This window comes from Homo sapiens, chromosome 10 (assembly GCF_000001405.40).
Source record: "Homo sapiens chromosome 10, GRCh38.p14 Primary Assembly".
In the NCBI taxonomy this organism is placed as follows: domain Eukaryota; kingdom Metazoa; phylum Chordata; class Mammalia; order Primates; family Hominidae; genus Homo; species Homo sapiens.
In genome coordinates, this window is record NC_000010.11 from 4,410,989 (window position 1) to 4,435,668 (window position 24,680).

At 35.7% G+C, this 24,680-nt stretch overlaps 1 annotated feature.

Moving 5' to 3' along the window:
- Positions 19,972 to 21,171: an enhancer, noted in NCBI's record as "CDK7 strongly-dependent group 2 enhancer chr10:4473152-4474351 (GRCh37/hg19 assembly coordinates)". NCBI's record gives its function as "activates an origin of replication core promoter dependent on BRD2, BRD4, P300/CBP, MED14 and CDK7 cofactors, with strong dependence on CDK7, by STARR-seq in HCT116 cells {active_cell/tissue: HCT116}" and the evidence as "EXISTENCE:reporter gene assay evidence [ECO:0000049][PMID:35650434]".

A 24,680-nucleotide genomic window follows, 5' to 3' on the forward strand; every position in this document is an offset into this window, starting at 1 on the left:
TGTCCCTATTTAATTAGACCAGGAATTTGGGCTTAAGACATTGGTGACTCTTCTGACCAGCATCTACAGAGGGTCAGCTATGAGATCCCAGTCCACCGAGGAAGCAGGCTGGTAAAACCAATCCACCACTCTCAATGGGATAGTCAGTGTGAAACACAGAAGACCCAGTAGTAGAATGGCTCTGGCTAGACAGGAGTCAAAAATCATGGTGGAGAAACTAGGAGGCTGTGTATGTTTGGATTGAAACCCTGCATACCTGACACCTTCAGGTCTGAGTGCCACCAAGAGGGAGCTGGCCACTCCACCCTGGAACGGGCCAGTCAGAAGAGGTGAAGACACTGAGGAAAGCTGACTCCTTGAAGCAGCCCACTCAGGTTGCTTCGTTAGAACTGTCTTTTAGTCTGAGTGCAAATGAGCAATGCCCCAGTTCCAGCCCTTGAAAATGTTTTCTTATGTTTCTTTCTAAGTCTTAGCATCCTTATTCTACCTTCCCCAACAGGCACATCTGCTGTAGTCTGTGTGATTTTTACCTTTGCATTCAAAAGAGAATAATTGGCTTATTAGCATCTGTTATGTGCTGTTTGTCTCATTATTTGTTTTATGTGTACTTTTAATTACCCAAATATTACTTTATGTTGGCCAGTAGCCCTATTTTATAGAAAATTCACAATAGAAGGCACATACAAGGTTTCCTTTATTGCATAAGATGATAACATATGGCAGGTTGTATATTTTTTGAACCATGCAAATTCTGTCTCCTTATTTTAAACATAAGAAAGAAATGAATTCTATTAAAAGTAAAATGAGAAAGCCAAGATCATATATAGTGAGCCATATCATCATAATTTAGGCTTACTCTTTTGATGGTGAACACTGATGTTCCATTCTACCGTGAGGGTAAAAATGCTGACTGAGTTATCCCAATTGGAGCCTGCATAATTTTCAGCAACTCCAGCTCCTTGACAAAATGTAACTCATCATGTATGTTAGTTTAGTATTTATTCCATGTGTCTTAACAGCCCAATAAGACTTCATGCTATAAATTACCTTTTTAGTTGTAAAACAAATCAAGATATTCATCATAAGAGATATTTTCTCAGCATGGTTCCTGAAGGGTTAACTGCTAAACTATGTCTTCAGACCCAAGGAGATGTACCAAAGAAAGTATCAGCTAAGTAGCCTGTATTTTATACATTTATCAACTTTTAATGATTCTCTGTTATTTAAAAAATATGTATTTTAGAAAATATCAGTTTCAAGGGTAGTGAAATGACCACTGATGTCGTCATCCAGATCTTTTGGCCAGGTTACTTATCATCGGCTTCATTTGGTCTTTATGGAGTCTCTGTATCCTTAAGGGAGGTTATTTTTCTTTAGAAAATTCATTGTCTGCTTGTAGAATGCATGATCTGTTTTATTGTTGAAGCCAGGTATTCACGGACCCGACATCATTAGTGATTAATGATAGTCAGCTCTGAGAACGCTGGTTTTACTTATTTGGTTCTTATGCTGTTTGTGTAATTCCAATTGTGTGTCCTGAGGGAGTGGGATGTGAAGTCTGTCTGGACACTTATGAAGACATAAATAGATACATATGTTCCTGCAGAAAGGTTTTCATTTATGTTGGCTTAGGTATATATATACACACATATATATATATACATATATATATATATATATATATATACACACACATATATATATATATATACATATATATATATAAGACATCCATCTACTATCTCATCTATTCACAGGAATATTCTGTAATATATCTTTCTCACATAGGCAGCTGCACTTATGTGTTTTCATTCTGTGAATATATTGCTTAATTCTTTAAGATGTCACAGGTTTTTGCATTGTCAGAATACTACAAGACTCATGCAATTTACATCACATCTAAGAAACGCATTTTCCAACATGCACTCGAGATGAATTTGTAGCTCAGCTTGTGGCAGTGTACACACTAATCATGCCCCTCCTCTTCAGGTCAGTTCCGCATGGTGCAGAGGGTCACTACTTATAGTATGTTACCATAGGTTTGTCACATTTTCTCCTTTATTGATTTATTTATTTTACTTCTGAAAAGACTAGCCTAAAATGAAAACTTGCTGATAATTTAAATATAGTACGTGCTGGATGGTCACTTAGGAGGATAGTAGCTTTTCAAGCAAAACATTTATATTAATTTACAGTTTCAATGACATGATTTATTTGAAAAGCATCTGTAGAATGCCTTCTTTGTGCAAAGCAGCATGGAAGTGTGGCTTAGAAAAGGAACAAAACCTAAAACTTGCTCTCAAGAGCTATTATAATTCATTGGGAAAATTTACAGATTTTAAGTATATATGTATATATATATACACCCTCTCCCACACATACATATAGTATATATACTGCACTAGTATAGTCTTTTTTTTTTTTAAGTTTTAGGGTACATGTGCACAATGTGCAGGTTAGTTGCATATGTATACATGTGCCATGTTGGTGTGCTGCACCCATTAACTCATCATTTAGCATTAGGTATATCTCCTAATGCTATCCCTCCCCCCTCCCACCACCCCACAACCGTCCCCGGTGCATGATGTTCCCCTTCCTGTGTCCATGTGTTCTCATTGTTCAATTCCCACCTATGAGTGAGAACATGCGGTGTTTGGTTTTTTGTCCTTGTGATAGTTTGCTGAGAATGATGGTTTCCAGCTTCATCCATGTCCCTACAAAGGACATGAACTCATGATTTTTTATGGCTGAATAGTATTCCTTGTTGTATATGTGCCACATTTTCTTAATCCAGACTATCATTGTTGGACATTTGGGTTGGTTCCAAGTCTTTGTTATTGTAAATAGTGCCACAATAAACATACGTGTGCATATGTCCTTATAGCAGCATGATTTATAATCTTTTGGGTATATATCCAGTAATGGGATGGCTGGATCAAATGGTATTTCTACTTCTAGATCCCTGAGGAATCGCCACACTGACTTCCACAATGGTTGAACTAGTTTACAGTCCCACCAACAGTGTAAAAGTGTTCCTATTTCTCCACATCCTCTCTAGCCCCTGTTGTTTCCTGACTTTTCAATGATCGCCATTCTAACTGGTGTGAGATGGTATCTCATTGTCGTTTTGATTTCCATTTCACTGATGGCCAGTGATGATGAGCATTTTTTCATGCGTTTTTTGGCTGCATAAATGTCTTCTTTTGAGAAGTGTCTGTTCATATCCTCCGCCCACTTTTTGATGGGGATGTTTGTTTTTTTCTTGTAAATTTGTTTGAGTTCATTGTAGATTCTGGATATTAGCCCTTTGTCAGATGAGTAGGTTGCAAAAATTTTCTCCCATTCTGTAGGTTGCCTGTTCACTCTGATGGTTTCTTTTGCTGTGCAGAAGCTCTTTAGTTTAATTAGATCCCATTTGTCAATTTTGGCTTTTATTGCCATGCTTTTGGTGTTTAAGACATGAAGTCCCTGCCCATGCCTATGTCCTGAATGGCATTGCCTAGGTTTTCTTCTAGGGTTTTTATGGTTTTAGGTCTAACATGTAAGTCTTTAATCCATCTTGAATTAATTTTTGTGTAAGGTGTAAGGAAGGGATCCAGTTTCAGCTTTCTACATATGGCTAGCCAGTTTTCCCAGCACCTTATGCTATGATAAGGATGTTGATTTTAAAAGTGGATAGTATTTTTTATAGTTTTTAAGACTATATTAGTGTAGTATATAGTCTTAAAAAACTATAAAAAATACTATCCACTTTTAAAAACACCATCCTTATCATAGCATAAGTATTTGAACATTTCTTCATAATCATTATCTTGAATAAGAGCATAACTTATTTTTCCAGAGGGTCTTTTCAATTTCTTCTTTTTCTTACTCTTATTCATATTGATAATTTATATCATTTCGTACTTTTACATAGCTTGTTTTCAAAAACATAGTCTTGCATGAAGTTTTCTCTTTCTCTCTTCCCTTCCCTCCTTCCTTCCCTCCCTCCCTGTCTCTCTTTCTTTTTTTCTTTTTCTTTCTTTCTTCCTTTCCCTCTTTCTCTCTTTCTTTCTTTCTTTGTCTCTCTCTCTCTCTCTTTCTTTCTTTCTTCCTTTTTTTTTAAAAGTGTCTCTCTCTGTTACCCAGGCTGGAGTGCAGCAGCAGGATCATAGCTGACTGTATTCTTGACCTCCCCAGGCTCAGTTGATCCTCCCATCTCAGCCTCACAAATAGTTGGATCTACAGTTATGTTCACCACTTCTGGCTAATTATTCTTTTTTTTTTTTTTTTTTTTTTTTTTTTTTTTTTTTTTTTTTTTGTAGAGACGAGGTCTCACCATGTTGCCCCAAGCTGGTCTTGAACTCCTAGTCTCAAGCAATCCTCCCGCCTTGGCCTCTCAAAGTGTTTAGGTTACAGGTGTGAGCCACCATGCCTAGCTGCATATAGTTTTCTACCCCAATATTTTAAAAAGTGTTTACTTAGAAGATATTTCAAAAAGTTATGCATGTTATCAATGAAGTGTGAATTCTAAGCTCCAGTGCTGTAGCATCAGCATTGTCTCTTGCCTGAGGAAACAAAAGAAGTGTGTTAGGTAGAGAGAGGCTTTCAAACCATGTCCCAGCACCTTCAGACAAGCAATATTGTGATAAGAATACTGTTAAATTAGTGAACATTTCTCTTACAGACCATTGAGAAAATATTTTCAAGACTGACTGAGCATTTACTGATAAATCACATTATAGTTGAAAAGAATATGCAACAAGATAAAGTTAAAATAACTTTTCTTTGGAAAGAAATAGATGTTTGGGAGGGGAAAATCATATACGTGTTATATTTAGTTTGTTGGTTTCTGCCCCAAATTTAAGTCTAACATCTTTTGAGCTTCATTTTTTATACTGTCATATTGACTTAAAAGCATTCTTGCTCTACATTATTGTTGTCACAGATTTTATGGACATCATCTAGTTCTTTTCGTTATACTTCTTGACAACCAGATAGTTCCAAAGAAAAGATGTGTATTATATCACAAGAGACTTTCATTCACATAAGTATTGATATGCTATCAAGTCAAATGCCAAGATTTTCACTCAATCCACAGATTTCCCATGCTATCAAAAAAGATATGATGAAAGACTCAATTAAAACATTCACCAACATCTAAATAAACTGTATCTGAGCAATTAATGTCTTTCGTCTAAATCTTTCATCATTTACTGTCAGCAATAAAGTCTTATTTATTGCAACGCAAGTTTAATCACAGTACTATTCAACTAAAAGCAAAAACAAAACAAAACCAACCTGGAAATGCAGAAATTGCAAAGAAGCAAAAATGCATAACTTCAGCTGCCATGTACCAGTACATGGTTTCCTCAACACTGCACCTGGAGGCCAACCCCGGGTCAGCATTCAAAAACACAACAGAAAACATGGCTTTTCCTTCTGCCTGCTAAATGTCATTTGAATATCACTCATTGGAAGGATGCAGCCAATGATGGTGACAAGAAAATCTGGAAAATAAGGTTCAAAGGAGAACTTAGAAGAGTAGGGTGCATATAGAGTCTCAACAATGACACCATTCTGACCCAGTGCTTTGTAAGCTGTTGTGTGTTGATTTATATTTTTCAGCCTCATTTTCTTCCACCTTATGATATGACATGCATCCTGCTCCATAAGCACCCACAACTATCCCCAAATTTCCCAGGTATGCCTTTTCCAATCATTGTCTTCAGAGCCACACCCATGATGCTATGGGAAAACTAGACTTATAAGTACCTCATATCTGCTTATCCTACACCACCTTCACCCATCTTTTGACTCCACTCCTCTGACTTCTGTATCTCAGCGGCATCACCACCCACACAGTTTGTGAAATCACAAACTTGGGCTTTATTGTTGATTCTTACTTTGCCTCCCTCTCCATCTAATCCATCTTGAAGTCCTGAGTGTTCTGACTCTTCCTTCTGGCTTCTCCACCTTATTTTAGGCTAAGATCATGTATGTCCTGGGTCATTCCAGAGCCTAAATTCCACACCCTGAACATTAAAAACATGTATCCAATGCTCAAATCCCTTTTGCATATGTATACGGGCTTAGAGAAACTAGAGAAGTTAGTTCTGATACCCTACTTCACTTGACATGTGCCAGTCAGATTTAAATCCAATTTATTTTCTAGCATTACCTTCCTTAATCAATAGAAAAATTGTTGTCTGTTTATCCATTGATTCCAACTGCAGAAAAATAACTCTTTATTTTCAGAGTTCTAAGGGAACAGGGAATACGCACTCATTCATCTTAGAGACGTCAGATGGATGAACAAAGGCTTAACTAGGCCAGCAAGCATGAATATTCTCTACTTTGGTCCTTACGTCTCATCCAGAGTCGTTCAGACCAGACAAAGCAGTGACGTTAGTAAGATTTGTATCAGGGCCTATTACCAATCTAATACCAACTGCAACCTAATAACCCTCCAACATGTATTGGTTGGAATGTGATTACTTTATCACTTTGATTTTTGTAGTGATATTAATTGGCTAATATGTTATCAATTCCTGTAAAAATATTTTAATGTTTTTAAGTAATTCTGAAAGACTGGAAATTGTATAGGAAGACAAAAATCCTCTCTACCTCCTGAAGCGTTTATCGAAGATATGATATCATGACCAGGGTTTGGGAAGAACAGATTGACAGAATATTGGTAATTCTTGAAGCTAAGCATTCAGCCACATTGTGCTGTCCTTTGCATGTTTGTATATTTTGGAATATTTTCATAATAGATAAATTTTTACCAAATTCTACCAAAGCCAAACATATGTATTTTTGCTGGTGGAATTTCAGAGCTATGGTGCAGGGTACAGAGACTTTTACAATGACAATATTTTACTCCCTACAGAGGCCACTGTAAGAGAGCACTACAATTTTATGAATAGATTCATCTCATCATGCAATTTTTATCATCCTTTTAATATGTATAATGTTATTTTTTTCTTTGGATGTCAGCCTTATTACATCAATTTAAAAGTTTTGTGCTTTGAATTTTTAGAATGAACATTTTAGTTCATGTATTAATCTTGTTTTTAATAAAGAGCTTCTTCTAAGCTTTTCTATAGCTGAACATAATTAAATCCTCTCATAAAAATGAAGTGCACAAATTCCTTGGTAATACAAATAATGATTCTGCACATGGCAATTTGTAGGATCTTGTCTTTCTAAATTCCAGGTGTTTCTGAGGTGAGCTTTACATGAATCGGGTCAAAATCTTTCTAATTAAAGTCATGTTTGCATAGGTAAATAAAGTGGTCCAGGATTGAAAAACAGGCATATAGTAACCGCCTATTTCAAGTTTATATAAAGCATCTGGCTACTAGATGACCTTTTGGGTCTTTTATATTATATTAACATCAAGGAATTCCATTCTGTCTACTTCTCTCTCCTGCACTGTACTAGAAGAGGACCTCCTCATCACCAGAAGCTTCCTGCAGAGAGTTGAACAAAAGTCTCCTCCTAGTATCCTTCAAGAAATGAGCTTAAGTATCTTAAAGATAAAATGGTCTATTTTTTAGTAAATAGTGACAGGGTGGTGGAAGAGTATGATTTATTTTGCCCATAAAATGTATTATTTTATGAACATTTTAATTATTTTTCAACATTTCACTTTAATCATGAAATGTAAATTCAAAGCAAATTTTTCTTTTAAATATTTATTTATGTCTGATAATTTGACAATGTTTTCCTTCAGTTTCAAATATTTACCCTTAACATTAGTAAACTAAAAATGATCAGCATTTTCTTTAGAAAGGAACTATTCACACAACCAATTTAGACTAATTTTACTTAAGTAAAGTATATATTTTACGAAATCAATTACTTATTCATTAGGAATAATTCAGAAGTTTCCAAATTTTTATAAATAATATGCCAATGGCAAATGTAAATTTGAAATGTATGCAAATTTAGATTTGTATCCTTTTCAATTAAAAAATAAAGCCAGTTCTGACAATGGTTCCCAGGTTACTTCATTGGTTCTAAAGTGGCTTCAAATTTTTAAAATTTTTTTTTCATACATAATACACACATAATATCAATGACCAAAACAATTTGAGAAACATTATTTTTACTTGACTTTTTTTGTGGAAAAATAAAATGAATCATGATATGGAGGATATATAATAGCGTCAGTTACACTTTTTCTCATACTTCTTTTCTTTCTTACAGGAATATGCCCAAAGTTTGGAGGTGATTCCTTTATTTTATCCCTTTACAGGTATGGGGACAGAGAGGCACTTAAGTGTCTATAATAGTACCATAAAAGGTTTCTGCTTAAGGTATGCAATTGAAGACATGTAATCATAACTTCTGATTTTACCAGTCTACCTATTTGTCACTCCAAATACCTTACATCCAGCTCCTTTTTGTTTTAGTTCCTGCCGCCCTACCTGGTGGAATCAATTGTCCTGTCCAGGAGCTTTGGCAAGGGTCTCTGTGCAGAGGTTAGAACTATTTCAATAAACGTGTGTGTGAACTAATTTTAAAAAAATGAATCAATGTTTAGACAAAGCAGATTTCACAGCAAACAAAATTACCAGGGATAAAAAGGAACACTATTTAACAATAAAGGGTTCAACTCTCCAAAAAGACACAATTCTTAATGTGCATTTGTTTAAACAAGAAAACTTAAAAATGCGTGAGGCAAAAACTGACAGCAATGCAAAGATAAATAGATGAATCTACTGTCATAGTAGAAGACTGCAACTTCCACAGTCAGAAACAGATTTAAGAGCCAGAAAATCAGTAAGGACATAGCTTAACTCAACAGCACCAAATATTAACCGGATATAATTGACGTCTATAGACTACTTCATTCAACAACAGCAGAATACACATTCTTCTTAAGATCCCATGCAACACTCACCAAGGTAGTCCAGTTTCTGGGCTATAAAACAGGACTTAAAAAGTTAAAAGAATGTAATTCATACAAAGAATGCTTTCAAACTACAATGAAATTGAACTAGACATGAATAACAGAAAGATAGCTAGAAAATTCCAAAATACCTAGAGATTAAAAAACATACTTCTAAGTAACACATGGATCAAAGAAAGATTCCCAAGAGAAAGCTAAAATATTCTGAATTAAATGAAAATACAGTAAATAGCAAAAGTAGTCCTTAGAGAGAAATTATAGTGTAGAATGCAGATGTGAGGAAAAAAAGATAAAGATCCAAAAAACAATAATCTAAACTTTTCTTAGAAAAATAGAAATAGGAGAGGCAATTAAATACAAAGCAAGAGAGGAAAAATAAACAATAAAATTTAGGGCCAAAAGTAATAAAATTTTATAAAGAAAATTAATAGAGAAAATCAACAAAACTAGAAGCTGGTTCTTTGGTAGGATAATAAAATTCACTCCTTGTAGCTTCTTTACCTTTAGTGAGGCTAGCCAAAAAAAAAAAACAAACAAACAAAAAAAAAAGAGGGAGAGAGAAGGCAAAAAGAGCTAATATCTGACATGTAAAAGGGACCATCACCACTGATCCCAAAGACATTAAAATGATAATAAACAATTTTATGAAAACTATGTCGAAAACTTTGACAACTTAGCTGAAATGGACAAATTACTAGAAACACAAGCCACAGAAACACACAAAGAGAAATAGACAATCTGAATGGGAAAATATTGAATAATGAAATTATATCAATAATTAATAACCTTCCAAAACAGAAAGTACCAGCCATATGGTGAATTCTACCAAATTTTTTTTATGGAAGAAATTTTGCTAATTCTCTACAATCTTTTCCAGAAAATAGAAACAGAGAAGAGTTTTATTTTTTTTAATGAACTTCTATCTGTACCAGAGAGAGAATAGTTCTTAACTTGTTCTATAACAACCGCATTATCGAACACAAAAACCAGAGAAAAACATTATAAAAAATTAAAATGATAAACCAACATTTTTAATAAATATAGATGCGCAAACCATCACAAATAAGTTCAAAAACTCAATTTAATAACATATAAAAAGAATTATACTCCACACTGAAGTGGGATTTATTCCAGGTGTGCCAGACTATTTCCACATTTGAAAATCAATTAGCATAATCCATCATTTCACAGACTACAGAAGCAATATCATATTATCACATCAATTGATGAAAGAACAGATTTGACAAAATCCAACACTTATTCATGATTAAAATGCTCAACAAACTAAGAATAGAGAGGAACTTTTCCAATAAAATGAACATCTCCAAAAAACTTACATTACATGTCATGCTTAATGGTGAGAAAGTTGATACCATCTGCCTAAGATTGAGACCAAGGCAGGAATTTCCCCTCTGAACACTCTAATTAAACATCATACTGGTAGTCTTGGCTAATGTAGTAAGGCAATAGAAGGAAATAAAAATTATACAGAGAAAGAAAGAAGAAATTAAACTACCCTTATGCAGAGATGGTATTATGTGATATGATTGTCTATAAGAAAATAACCCTAAATCCATCAAAATACTATTGGAGCATGAAAGGAATTATAACAAGATTGTTGCAGGATACAGGATAATATATAAAAGTCAATTGCTTTCCCATATACTAGCTCTGAAAAATTGGAAATTTGAATTCCATGACAATAACATTTATATCAGCAGACAAAAATTGAATATGTAAGAATTAATCTAACAAGTATGTACAAGATTTATATGAGAAAATGACACAACTCTAGTAAGAGAAATCCAAGATCCAAATAAATGGAGAGATATTCCACAATATGGATAGGAAGTCTCAATATTATTAAGATGTTGATTTTCCCCAACTTGATGTATTGATTCACCACAATCTCTATCAAAATCACAGGAAATTATTTTTTAACATAGAAAAATTGATTCTAAAGTTCATATGGAAAGGCAAAGGACCCAGCATAACCCACACAGTACTGAGCAGCGACCCTGGAGGACACAAACCACATGACCCAGAACTTACTACAAAGCTGCAGTGATCTAGAAAGTGTGATATTCACAAAATAATGGGCAAATAGATCAATGGAACATAATAGAGATCCCTGAAATAGACTCAAACATATACACTCAACTAGTCTTTCATCAAAGACCGAAGGCAATTCAGTGGAGCAAAGAGTTTTTTCTATAAATGTGGCTGGAACAACAATAAAATGAATCCAGACACAGACTTTAAACTTTTCAAATAAAATAACTGAAAAGAGCCACAGGACTAAATGTGAAACAGACAAAAATAATCACACAACTTTGATAAGATAGCAGAGGTGAAAATATAGGCGACCTTGGATCTGGTGATGACTTTTTAGATACAAAGGCATGGTCCATTACAGAAGACAATTGATACAAGCTAGACTGTGGTGCATGTGGGTGGGCGGAATTATATGGAAATTAATTTTACTTCCTGTGTAATTATTCTATAAACCTAAAACTGCTCTAGCAAATAAAGTCTATTTAAGAAGAAACAATACTCATTAACTACTATTTTTTCTTTTTTTTGAGATAGAGTCTCTCTCTGTTGCCAGGCTGGAGTGCAGTGGTGCGATCTCTGCTCACTGCAACCTCCACTTCCCTGGTTCAAGTGATTCTCCTGCCTCAGCCTCCCGAGTAGCTGGGACTACAGGCGTGCGCCACCACACCCAGCTAATTTTTGTTTTTTTAGTAGAGATGGGGTTTCACCATGTTGGTCAGGGTGGTCTCGATCTCCTGACCTTGTGATCTGTGCGCCTCCGCCTCCCAAAGTGCTGGGATTACAAGCATGAGACACTGCCCCTGGCCTCATTAACTACATTTTTTAAATGGGTGCCTTTTATTTTTCTTAAAATTATATGCCAAAAAAGTTGATTAAAAATTGGAAAAACGTGGATAAATGAATATACTTTAATCAGCTCTGTGATTACTTCTCTCAGCAATGTATTGGCATTATTTATTATTGACCTCAGGCTTTTTGATGGAGAGGAGGGCCAGGATATGGAAACCTGAAAATAGTTTTCAGAAAACTAGAGCTGGCCAGGCACCGTGGCTCACACCTGTAATTCCAGCACTTCGGGAGGCCGAAGGGGGCAGATCACTTGAGGTCAGGAGGTGGAGACCAGTCTGGCCAACATGGTGAAACCCCATCTCTACAAAAAAAATGCAAAAATTAGCCAGGCATAGCAGTGGGCATTTGTAATCCCAGCTACTTGGGAGGCTGAGGCAGGAGAATTGCTTGAATCCAGGAAGTGGAGGTTGTAGTGAGCTGAGATCACGCCACCGCACTCCAGCCTGGGTGACAAAGTGAGGAAAAAAAAAAAAAAAAACACCAAAAAATTAGAACAAGGATGTATAGGAGCCATACAGGCTTCATAACTCAAAATAAGCTATAATTAAATGAAACACTTTCAGCTTCAGAAAGAATTCTGAATTTTAAATGAATTGTGATATTTTGAAATAAAATTTCCATGTGGAAATTTAAAAAACTGTAATACTAATATTTTATGAAACAGCTGAATCAGAAGATGCAGTTGAACATTTAGAAAATGGAAGTATATCTGATTTGAGATCGCATCAGGGTAGATCTCTCTCACTGAAAGCACTTACTGCAGCAAGCATGGGTGGTAGAATGGAAGTTTCTGCTTTCTTTCCCTGTGCCACAGTCTTCTACGTGGCTGGTCCTTGAAAGTTCTTCATCTCTAAGACTCAGTTTCTCTTTCATAAAATAAAGGTAATTGTAGTGCCAATCCTTAGGAGATGTGAAAATTAAATAAGACAGTACATATAAAACATTTAGTATATTTTGCAGTAAAAAGTCAATACAATTTGTTAATATTATTAATGGCATATTGTCATGAGTATTTATTTTTAATTATTCCCTCTGCCCCTGCAAAAATTTCATGGAGAGAAAGAAATATAGGAGAAATAACTAGCAAGGCTTTAAGAAATGATGATCTGTGATTGCAACCATTTTGGTATATTAGGTTTATAAAATCACTTTTTTTTTAAGTCAAATGTTCTATTTGAACTTTACCTGCATGATTTTTGAAAACTATGATGTTTTATCAAATTGCAGGCTTTTTTTTTGTATTAAATGGCACTGTAAATACCACAGTCATCTGATGGCATTCACAGGTGATTGGTTTCAGAACCCTCTCAGATACCAAATCCAGGATGATAAGTCCCTTATATCAAAAGGTGTAGTATTTGCATACAACGTACATACACATCCTGCCTTGTACTTTAGACCATTTCTAGATTACTTATACTACCTAATGAAAGCAAATGCTATGTAAACAGTCGTTACACTGTATTGCCTTCTATTTGTATTATTTTAATTTTTTTCCGATTATTTTTGATCCAAGGTTGGTTGAATTTGTAAATTAACTGGTGAAAACAGAGGGCTGACTATATAATATATGCTTCTCTCTTTTTTTTTAGTTTTGTATAATTTCAGACTTTCAGAAAAGTTTTAAGAATAGCACAAAAAATTCCCTAACACTTTCCGCTCAGAATCCCCAAATGTTAACACATTACTACATTTGCTTTCTCTAGTCCCCCTTCTCTCTGCACATATGTACACATTTTCTTTTTCTGAAATGTGTAAGAGGAAGTTGTATATATGACACCTCTTCTTCCCTAAATAATTCACTGTATACTATCTGAAAATAAGGCATTTTCTTACAACATCGAAGTATAATAATCCAACTCAGGAAACCGACACTGAGGTCATACTCCTCCTTCATATACAGACCTGATAGATTTTACCAACTTTCCCTATAATGTTACTTATAGACAAAGTAAATCCAAGCTGATGGGTTTTATTCAGTTCCCACATCTCTTTGGCCTCACTTAATTTAGAAGAGTTGCTGATTCTTCTTATATTTCAATATACAGTAAGTCCTCACTTACAATATACAGTTAGTCCTCACTTGGTTCTTGGAAATTGCAACTTTAAGCAAAATGATGTACAGAAGATCCTCAAATAAAATTCCTTCCTGCAACATCACGTTTTCCTAATATTGATGAGCAAAAATGATTTTAAGTCATTTTGCTTTAAGTCTTAGTTTCCAGGAACCTATCAGTTTCATTAAGTGAGTACTTAATGTATTGATATTTTAGAAGAGTATTAGACACATTCTGTATATTATCCCTCAGTTTGGGATTTGTCTGTTGTTTTCTCATGACTAGATTTGGGTTTTATATTTTTGATAATAATACCACAGAAATGACACAAAGTTTTTCTCAGTGACCATGTTAGGAAGCACACACTGTCAATGAGTTTCATTACTGAAGGGGTCACTTTGATCATTATGTTAAATGATGTGGACTCAGTTTCTCCACTGCCACGTCACTATTTTACTCTTTGTGTTTAAGAGAATTCTGTTCTGAGATACTTTGTGACTATACAAGTCTTGCTGTTTAAACTTTCACACACTCATTTTGACATTCCTTGATGATTTTTGCCTAAATCAGTTGTTATTTTATTATAATATTGTCTTATAATATTATTGTAGTGAATTTTATTAATCACCAACTGATAGCAATCTGTCATCTATTGGCATCTCTGGAAAGGTCATCATTTTCCAATTAAACAGCAGTGGATTAGTACAAGTTTTCACGATGGTCAAAGCCATGTGCTGTTTCATTGACAAGAAAGCTCAGGATATTCCTTGAGAGTCCATCTCACTTGGGTTTAAACTGTGACATTATCATTTTTTAGCCATTTTATCTTATGCCAAATAACCAATTCTCAATTTTTTTCTACTTAAAAGGAATTTAAAAAATCACCATATAGGTTTTTTCTTTTAAGGTTTACATGAGATAATTTAGGTAAGGCACCTGTAGGGCATTATTTACATATAAATATAATAGGTTCTACCTTTTTTATCCTAGATTTTGATTCACGCTGATAGAGAAATTTCACTGTATATGTATATGTATGCATAAGCATATCAACCCCAAGCACACGCTTGATCATTGTATATGTCATGAGAAATTTGTTACTTTCACATTTTATTTCAACTCTAATAACAGGATGTCATTATAAAGAATGAAAAAAAAACTGTGTTTCAATCCAGTTATTCTCTTGCATTCTCCATTTCTCAGTACACATTTCTTTACTTACGTGGCTTCTATGTTTGTCCCCTTCAAATCTCACGTTGAAATGCCATCCCCAGTGTGGGGCCTGGTGGGAGGTGTTTAGGTCATGGGGTCAGATCCCTCATGAATGTCTCGGTGCTGTCCTGGAGGTAATGAGTGAGTTCTCTCTCTCTCTGAGTTCACCAGAGATCTAGTTGTTCAAAGGAGACTGGCACCTCCTCCCTCTCCTGCTGCCACTCTCATCATGTGATATGCCATCTCCCCCTACACCTTTCACCATGATTAAAAGCTTCCTGAGCCTCCCCAGAAGCAGATGCCAGCATCAGGCTTCCTGTACAGTCTGCAGAATCATGAGCCAAAATAAACCTCTTTTCTTTATAAATTACCCAGCCTGAGGTATCTCTATATAGCCACACAAAAATGGACTAATACATCTACTTAATTGAAGTTATGGGTTTTGAATGGAATCCAAAAGGCGACTACTGAAGTAGTTATATCAGTGTTTAGAACTCTTGCTGTTCTTGTCTTTTCTCTTGTTGGTTAAGTTGTTTCAATAATATATTTCCAGAATGAAATATAGTTATAAAGCATTTACCCTCTGGGCTTTATGTTAATTTTGCAGTAAGAAAGATAAATATTTATTAAACAGGAACTGTGCACATGACACCAACGTTGCAATTTGGATGTTCCTCTTTAAGATAGGTTGAACTCCTTCCTAATGTGGATAATCACAAAAACATTTAAATGCACATTGCCACAAAATTTATATAGCAATTAGGTTTCTAAAAACATATATGGTAACAGTATGAAAAATTGGAAAAATTACCATTTTTACAGTAGCAGCCCAATTAAGATATTTGGATTCAATAAGGGATACTAGAATAGCACAATGCACATTTTTGCAGCTCAATATTTATTTCTAAAATGAATTAACAAATGAGATGAACAAATGGATTGCATTGTGGTGAATCATGTTTAATTATAATTAAGCAATAATTTTACATGAACCATAACCAGTAAAATATTTCATGAGAAGCGATGTTGCAAACAGCATGTACTGTGCTGACATTAGCCAACTCACTAGGTACAGCTATGTTAATTTTTTTAGCTTTTAATCTTGATATTTTTATATTAGTCTACCTATTCTTTTAAGACAAGGAGGTCTTTTACTTCTACATTTACAGAAACTAATGTAGAAAGTATAATTTCCTAGTTGTTAAAAAAGATTATTATCGAAACAAACTAATAAGCAGAAATTTTACACAAACATACTAGTTTTAGATATTTAAACTATGATGATTATGTTTTTATATTAAGTTTTCATTATCTTTTAAAGTGAGCTTCTAGTATGAAGACAATGTTAATAGTTTGGGTAAAGCATATCCACGTTTCTACTTTATTTACATATCAACATTTAAAATGAATTTAAAAGTTAATGTTATTACTTCTAGAAAACATATATTACAGTCAAAGTAGGCCTTGTTTTGAGAGTAAGAATGACATGTCAGATGAATTTCTTAATTTTCTCAGTGTAAGCTAAAAATATCTCATTTGTTAGAAAACAAATTTTAAATGTCTAAATTTTGCCTTTACTGTAAGGAAACATTCTTCTCTGTCTGGTCTTTTTGGCTTTCCTGTAACAGCCTGGTGGTTCTGGCCATGAAATAAAGCCATGTGACTTCTGTTAGGATTCATCCACTAAATCATGAGATTGTGGAAAGAGTTCCAGCTCTTGCTCCTGTTTCCAGTGGCGAATCCTGCCTCTAATTGCTCTGACCTTTTCTTGACTGTCAACTATTTAAATCATACACTAAACTTTGTATAAATTTATGTAAGTTTAATGTAGTCACTGCATTGTCTGATATCTTTATAATAAGTTTTAAAATTCTGTGTGGTGTAGAGAAAGTCATTATCGTATTTTGACATGAAACTAATGAAATAACTTAGATTTTTAAAGCATAGTTGATTCACAGAGAAAATGAAGACATCATCAGGCTTTCTACAGCCAATAAAATGCCACAACACATAAACTTATGTGAAGTTTGGACATAATGTTTCATAACGTTTGAGTACATATCATCTCCAATCCCATGCCTCTCATCGTATTTGTTAAGAATTGATACGGTGTGCAGATACCTTTAAATAGACTTCATTTCATTAGCTCTGTAGGAAATATGAATCACCAATGAGAATTTTTCTTGTCAGAGAATCTAAGAAGTTGGTCATAAATATCCTCAACCTCCAGCCCGCATATTGGACCAGTCATGTGACAGGAAGTCTATAAGAAAGAATATTTATCAAACTTCTTTCAAACAGATGCAGAATCTAATTAAAACAGAAAGAGGGTTAGCTATTTTTTACGTTTTCTCGTGAAAAAATTGTTAGAATGCTTTGAACTAAAAAGCATGATAGTTCTGATGAATTATTACACTGATCATTGTATTTTCTTGAAAATGAAACAGTGTCCTTGCGTAGTTTCCAATAAATATCAAAAGACAACTTTTTCTATCATCTGGATATTTCTTTTTCAAAGTAGAATCCTCTACCAGCTGCTTCAAATGGAGTCATCCTTTTCTTCTGTGTCCTTGTTGTTCTAAATGGCCCTTTTTCCCTCTGGCCTCTATTGAAAGTTCCTCTATATCACTAGCATTCCCCAAACCAAATAGTGTTTCTAAAGCATTTCCATTTCAATAAGTGTCTCCATCCACTCACTGACACATTGTTTTAGATTGTATAACCTCAACCTTGGAAGTCAAATGCAAGCATCATCACTCCTCTTAGTTCTGTTTATGAGACTTAGAACAGTATATAGAGGAAAAAATATGTTGGGCTTACAGAACTTATTTTTCACAAAGCTGTGGTACACATATTTGCTGCAGATAGGAGAGCAAAATCCATGCAGACTAGTTCTTGAGTTTCACTCAACATGGAGTTCACATACATGCAAGTAAAAACACGAGTATTACTAAAAAATATCAATTTACACATGCCAGAAAACTGGGAAACACTGTTTAACAAAGGAAGCACAATTATACTCCTTATATCAGGCTCAAAACTATTTACTTCTGATTAGTTTTTGAATGTATACTGTTTCTTGGACTTGAATAAAATAAGCATGCTGTCTTGGTTGCAGTGTTCATAGTATCCTAATATCAGGGAATGAGGACAAATGAAGAAGTTGAGGAAACCATGAACATTTCCACCCATGAATAAAATCACTGATTTGACTGGCCATAGGTCTTTTATTTACGTTTGTTTTTTCACAGTATTTTGATTTTTCATGGTCAGGTTGGCCTCAAAGCCCTCCCACTAATTAAGGCTGATTTGAAGGAATGAACCATTCCCAGTTAACCTGTGGCCCCTTAGTAATTAGCTCAGTACCTAGCAGCCAAGACGTATTCAATAAGTACATGCTGATTCCATGAACAAAACAGAACCTTAATTCTTTTAAAATGACTTTTTCTAAAACAATGGTTAGGGCCTCCATATTACAAGAAAATTTTTATCTTTTTTATTGTAAAGCATATCCTATAACATGTACACGTGATATGTGAACTCTGTTCATTTATTTATAAGCATCAGAGTTTTGAAAAGCCTGCTTTTAGAGTTTCAAAACATCTTCAGCCAGACTTCCTTTGGCACACAACCTTGGTGTCTGCGTTTGGATGCGGTCCTTCAATTTCTCCACACACCCTCAAAACAGCAGAGCCCTCAGCTCATTGCTGCTTCAATCAGCTGCCTGTGTCGCAGAAGCTGAGCCGGCACACACGGTGGACGCTGGCAGATAAAACACGAAATTGCTAAAGGAGCCATGACAGATGGGAGAAATACCTCTAAACCCAAATCATGAGGGTTATCAGAGCATGACACACCAACAGGAACCAAGCACCAAGAATGCAGTAGCTATAAAATCTCAGTCCGCTCATTGCAAGCCAGGTAGACATATATTTCAGTCCATAAGTAAAACTGTTAAATTAATACGAAGCAAAGATGAGACACAGTTAGCAGAATTATCTTGAATTTATTAAACTTATGTTTAAGGAATGGATGAATGAATTCAAAAAGGCATGAGATATCAGAAAAAAAAATTGAGTCCTGTCATATAAGCATTTAATATATACCCAGCATGTAGAATGTAATACTATCTATGCGAAGTGTTATTATGTGATCACTTTTAATCTTTTCTGTAACTAAAAAGTCTGTAACCTTGCATGAAAATGATACAGACAATATTAGAATAACACATATCCTGCTGGCAGGGAGAGACACTTGGAGCTCACAACCACCCCTAAACCATCACTCAAAATCTTATTGTTATCCTAAAGGCAGAGTGGCTTCAATGTCCAATTATCCACATGTAAAATTATCTCATTCCCTCTCCAGTTCAAACTTTGATGTGCCAAAAGAATTCTCCACAGAGTGCAATACTCTAAATGTGGTATATTGATGATGTTGTAGGGGCTATTTATGGTTTTGTAAAGGGTTATTTTTACTCTCAACCATCTTCTACCCATGTGCTGACCTTAAAATGTAACCTTTTTTAAAAGATAGAAAATAATTGTGTTTTTAAAAAGGCCCAATCACGCCATCAACAATGAAAGTCACAAGAATGAAAGTCAACTATTTTTGATTGCTTAATTGACTTTTTATTTCATTTAATTAATTTTGTTAGAAATGTGTCCAACTATAATTTGTACATGATCATAAAATGGGTAATTGATAATACTCTTATAACTTAATTTTGACAAACATACATTGGAGTTGGTAAGCTTATCTCCTATGGAATTGTAGAATTATATCTCTTAATATAATTTTGATACAGTGTTTATACATAGCATATAAAGCATTCTACATAAGTTGCATAGTTTTTAGTTGTTTCATGTGTAAATAAGAGTAAAAATACTTATATCACAGAAAGTTGTGAGACTCAAATAAGAAAAAAATTACAACTAGATGCATATGTTCGAAAACTTTGATATCCCACTCCCTTGCTTTTTTTAGTTGAGGGATGTGTATTGAGAGTCTGTGCAGACTAACTCATTCTAGAATAGCATAACGTGAAAAGACAACAAAAAAGTAGCTTTTCTAATAACAACTACTATCAATAGAATGCTTACATTTTTAACCAGTCACTGTTCCAAATGTTTTACATTAAATTGCCTTTTTAACCCTCAAAGTATCTCCATGAAATCGGTGTTAATCCTGTCCTCATTTCACAGCGCAGGCAAAGGAGGTGCCAAGAAGAGAAAAGGTGAGCCCACAGTTACAGAGCTGGTGAGCTGCAGAAGGTGGATTCCCACCTAGGATCATGGATGCAGAGCCCACGCTCCTCGCTGCGATGTTATGCTGCCTTCGTGTCCAAGATAAGTAAAATAATCTCTGTTTCAAAATGTTGAAAAGAGTTACAAGTCTCAGAATCAATGTTCCCTTCCCCATAGTCCACCATTCCATCATGATCCCTTTTGTAGTAAACCGTGTAGCATGACTCACAGTTACAATCATGCCATAGATTCAGCAAGATCAAAGCATTGCAGGAATTCTGAAGCTCCGCAGAAATGTAATCCCTTCCGAGAGAGATGGCCGTAGCTGGACCAGACATTCAAGCAATCCTGCTGTGAAAAAATGACAAATGATTACTTTGGACATGGGGGGAAATACCTTTAGCTCAGTCTAGGCTTCCCAAGTATAGACAGAGTATAGATTAAACCTCCAAGTCTATCCCACACTCTATACAAGGGAAAGGCTTATACCTTCGGCTTTTCCACTTAGACAAGATGAAGAGCTAAGTTAATACAGCTGGAAGTTAAGCCATTTGTTCCAGATGGTGCAGATATTTCAAACTCGGTGTTCCTAAGGCGATGGTAACACACGGAATTTTATTCTGGTAGAAGCAATAATGTGTGTGAGAGTGTGATGTTTACTCGTCTGGTATATGAACAAAAAGCACATCTATTTAAGTAAATATCTGTGTTCACAAAGCAGAATACAGAAATGGGGTAATTACCTGCATAGTCAAGCTTAAAAAATATGCCTTTGACTCAAAAATCTGATGATTTTGAGCTCATTTTTTGCTTTAATAATCTGTTTAATTGCTTTACTTATGGATTTCACTTCTATGTAGAAAAAGCCTTAAGAAACAATTTGCTTGCAGGCACATCTTGGAGATATTGCAGGTTCGTTTCTAGGTCATTATAATAAATATTGCAAAGAAGTTAGTAACACAATTTTTTTGATTTTACGAGTACATACAAAACTTATTTTTTTACACTATACTGTGGCCTAAGTTTGCAATCGCATTATGGCCAAAAAAAAAAAAAAAAAAAAAAAAAAAAAAAAAAAAAAAAAAAAGTGCATACCTTAACTTAAAAATACTTTATTGCTGAAAAATGTTAACAAATATCTGAACCTTCAGTGAGTCATAATTTTTTGCTGATGAAGGGTCTTGCCTCAATGCTGATGGCTGCTGAAGGTTGGAGTAGCTGTGACAATTTCTTAAATAAGACAACAATGAAGTTTGCTGGCTCAATGGACACTTCCTGTCATGAAAGATTTCTCTGTAGCAGAAGATGCTGCTTGATAGCATTTACCCACGGTAGAGCCTCTTTCAAAATTGGAGTGAAGCCTCTCCAGTCCTGGGGCTGCATTATCAATTAAGTTTATAGAATATTCAAAATCCTTTGCTGTCATTTCAACAATGTGCACGGCATCTTTACCAGGAGAAGTTTTCATCTCAAGTGAGTTTCTTTACTCAGCCATAAAAAGCCGCTCCTCATCCATTCAAGTTTTCTCCTGAGAGAGCAGCAATCCAGTTACATCCTCAGCCTCCACTTGTGATTCCAATCCTCTTGCTATTTCCACCACATCTGCAGTTACTTCTTCCACTGGAGTCTTGAACCCTTCAAAGTCACCCATGAGGGTTGTAATCAACTTCTTTCAAATGTCCGTTAATGTTGATATATTGATCTTCCCCCACCAATCAGAATTTTCTCAATTTCTCATGCAGAATGGTAAATCCTTTCCAGGTTTTCAATTTACTTCGCTTGGACCCATCAGAGGAATCACTGTCTATAGCAGCTATTGCCTTATAAAAATATATTTCTTAAATAATTAAACTTAAAAGTTGAAATTACTCCTAGATCCTTGATCAATGAGCTAAAGAATGGATATTGCATTAGCCGACATGAAGACAGTGTTAAGCTCTTGGCTGACCAAGTGAGTTTTCAGTGAGCAGTAATACTTTTAAAATAATCTTTTTCTTTTTTTTTTCTTGAGTAGTAGGCTTCAACAATGGATTTAAAACATTCTGTAAGCCATGCTGTACACAGAGGCACTGTCATCCAGGGGTGTTGCTCTATTTACAGCACACAGGCAGAGTAGATTTAGCATAACTCTTCAGGGCCTTAGGGTTTTTGGAACACTCAATGGGCATTGGAGTCAACTGAAAGTCACCAGCCGCATTAGCCCTACCAGAAGATTTTGATTCTAGATTTTGGTTTAAAGTGAGAGATATGCAACTCTTCCTTTCACTCAGACACTTAGAAGCCATTTTGGGGTTCCTAATTTGCCTAGTTGCAATACTGTTGTGTCTCAGAAAATAGGGAGGCGTGAGGAGAAGGAGAAAGACCAGGGAACTGCCCATCGGTAGAGAAGTCAGAACACACAACACTTTGATGAAGATCACTGTCTTCTGTGGGTGTCGTTTGTGGTGCCTCCAAAACAATTACAATAGTGACATCAAAGATCACTCATCATAGATCAGAGATATATAATAATATTATTGCATTATTAAAAGTATAATAATAAAAACGTTTAAAAAATTGTAAGTTACCAAAATGTGACACAGATACACGAAGTGAGCACCTGCTGTTGGAAAAATGGTTGCAAGAGACTTGTTCCACAACACAAAACTTCAGTTTGTAAAGAACTCCCATAATCTGCAAGATGTGATAAAGCGAAAACAGTAAAACGGGTTGTGCCTGTACTTGGTATGTGTGTGTATGTTGAATTATAGATGTGGCCCTATACCATGTATTGTGTGTAGCCTGAGAACCAGGGCGAGAATCTCAAGGAAGGCAGTGAGCTCTGGCCATCAGGGCTGTGGGTCCTGGGAACATGACCGCACACCTGCAGAAGGCTGCCATGCCACCCCATATGGCTTTGTGACAGCCGCCACTGGACCCGATATAATTTCTTCTTGTGATCAGGAGCATATGGCTGTCACCACTGTTGAAAACTCACAGGCATCCTGTGCATGCCCACAATCCTCTCTGGCCTCCTCCCAGGCCCTGTGCCCTGCTGAGCAGTTTTACCTCCATGTAGGACTCTTGAGTTGCTGCCCCCTTCACCTCTCTCAGAGGCAGGACAGGGCCTGGATGGGGCCACCCACCCTCCTGCATACCCCCAGGCTCTCAGTGTGTGTAGTCTCTGCACTCTGAGCCCAGAAGCCACCATGTGAGTGTAAGCCCACTCCTCCAGTGAAGGAGCTGACTGCAAGAGCACAGTGCTGACCCCTAAAAGTGTCTCCTCATGGGAGAAGCATGCGATGATGTTCACAGCTCTGACTCCTGCCTTCCTCATTGGCCAACAATTGTAAACTTGACAAATAACTGTGGCCCTCTTAGGTCAGATGTTTTATAAATTGTATGCTAAAATGAATATGAAAACAACACCTGATTTACAACATGACTTTGATCATTTATCCAAGTAAAATAATACTTAGGGAGTAACTTACAAACTCTAGCCAGAGCATGTGTTGACACAGAGATGCAGACTTTAGTGCAGGGTCATATTCCTATACAGAGCACAGGGACGACAATCCTACAGCTGGGGAAAAAGCAGTTTCAAAGAAGGAATGAAATAAGAAGGGTGTCTCCTATGTTGAAATCAAGGGAGTGAATGTTGATTTTAATGCCTGGTTTGTAAACGCTTGGGAAAGGGATTACTACAGGCCAGTTTTGATTCATACTATGTCATGCCTGAAAAAAAAAACTCATTTTTTTAATTACCTGAGACTTTATAGATCTGAGGAATGAGTAGATATCATGCACCTCTATTTCTGCTAGGAAAGAAAGAGATGTATTTATTCATTTATCCATTAATAATTGTATTCGGTTTATGAATAAAAAATGTTTTTTGAGTGTCGCTTGAGTGCCAGGCACCATTCTAGGCCTGTAGATGCAGGGAGGGAAGAAAACAAGGCCCTAGCTCATAAGAGGATATGACTATAGACAAAATAATCAAACAATGTATATAAGTCAAATGGTGACGAGCACTCCTCAGGCCTGCTTTGTTTGTGTCATTTTCTGATGGCTGCGTGACTCTGCCGCCAGCCTGTGGGGGCCTCCTTCACGCCTTCTTCACAGGCTGCTAGTCTAGTCCACTCTTCATGCATTTTGTCTTTAGTTCAATGGAGAATTTTACTTTTTTGGTGAAGTAACAAGAAAGGAAATATTCTCCATAATAAATGAAAACTGTTATTCAACAAGAGGTGATGCAGAAGTGTAAATGGAAAGCCAGCCATTAGATCACAAGCAGAGCAGCTCAAGCCAAGCTTGGTCAGGAGGCCGGGAGCTGGAGGGAATTGGGCTTAATGTGGTTTAACGTTGCAAGTAAGGTCCTGAGTC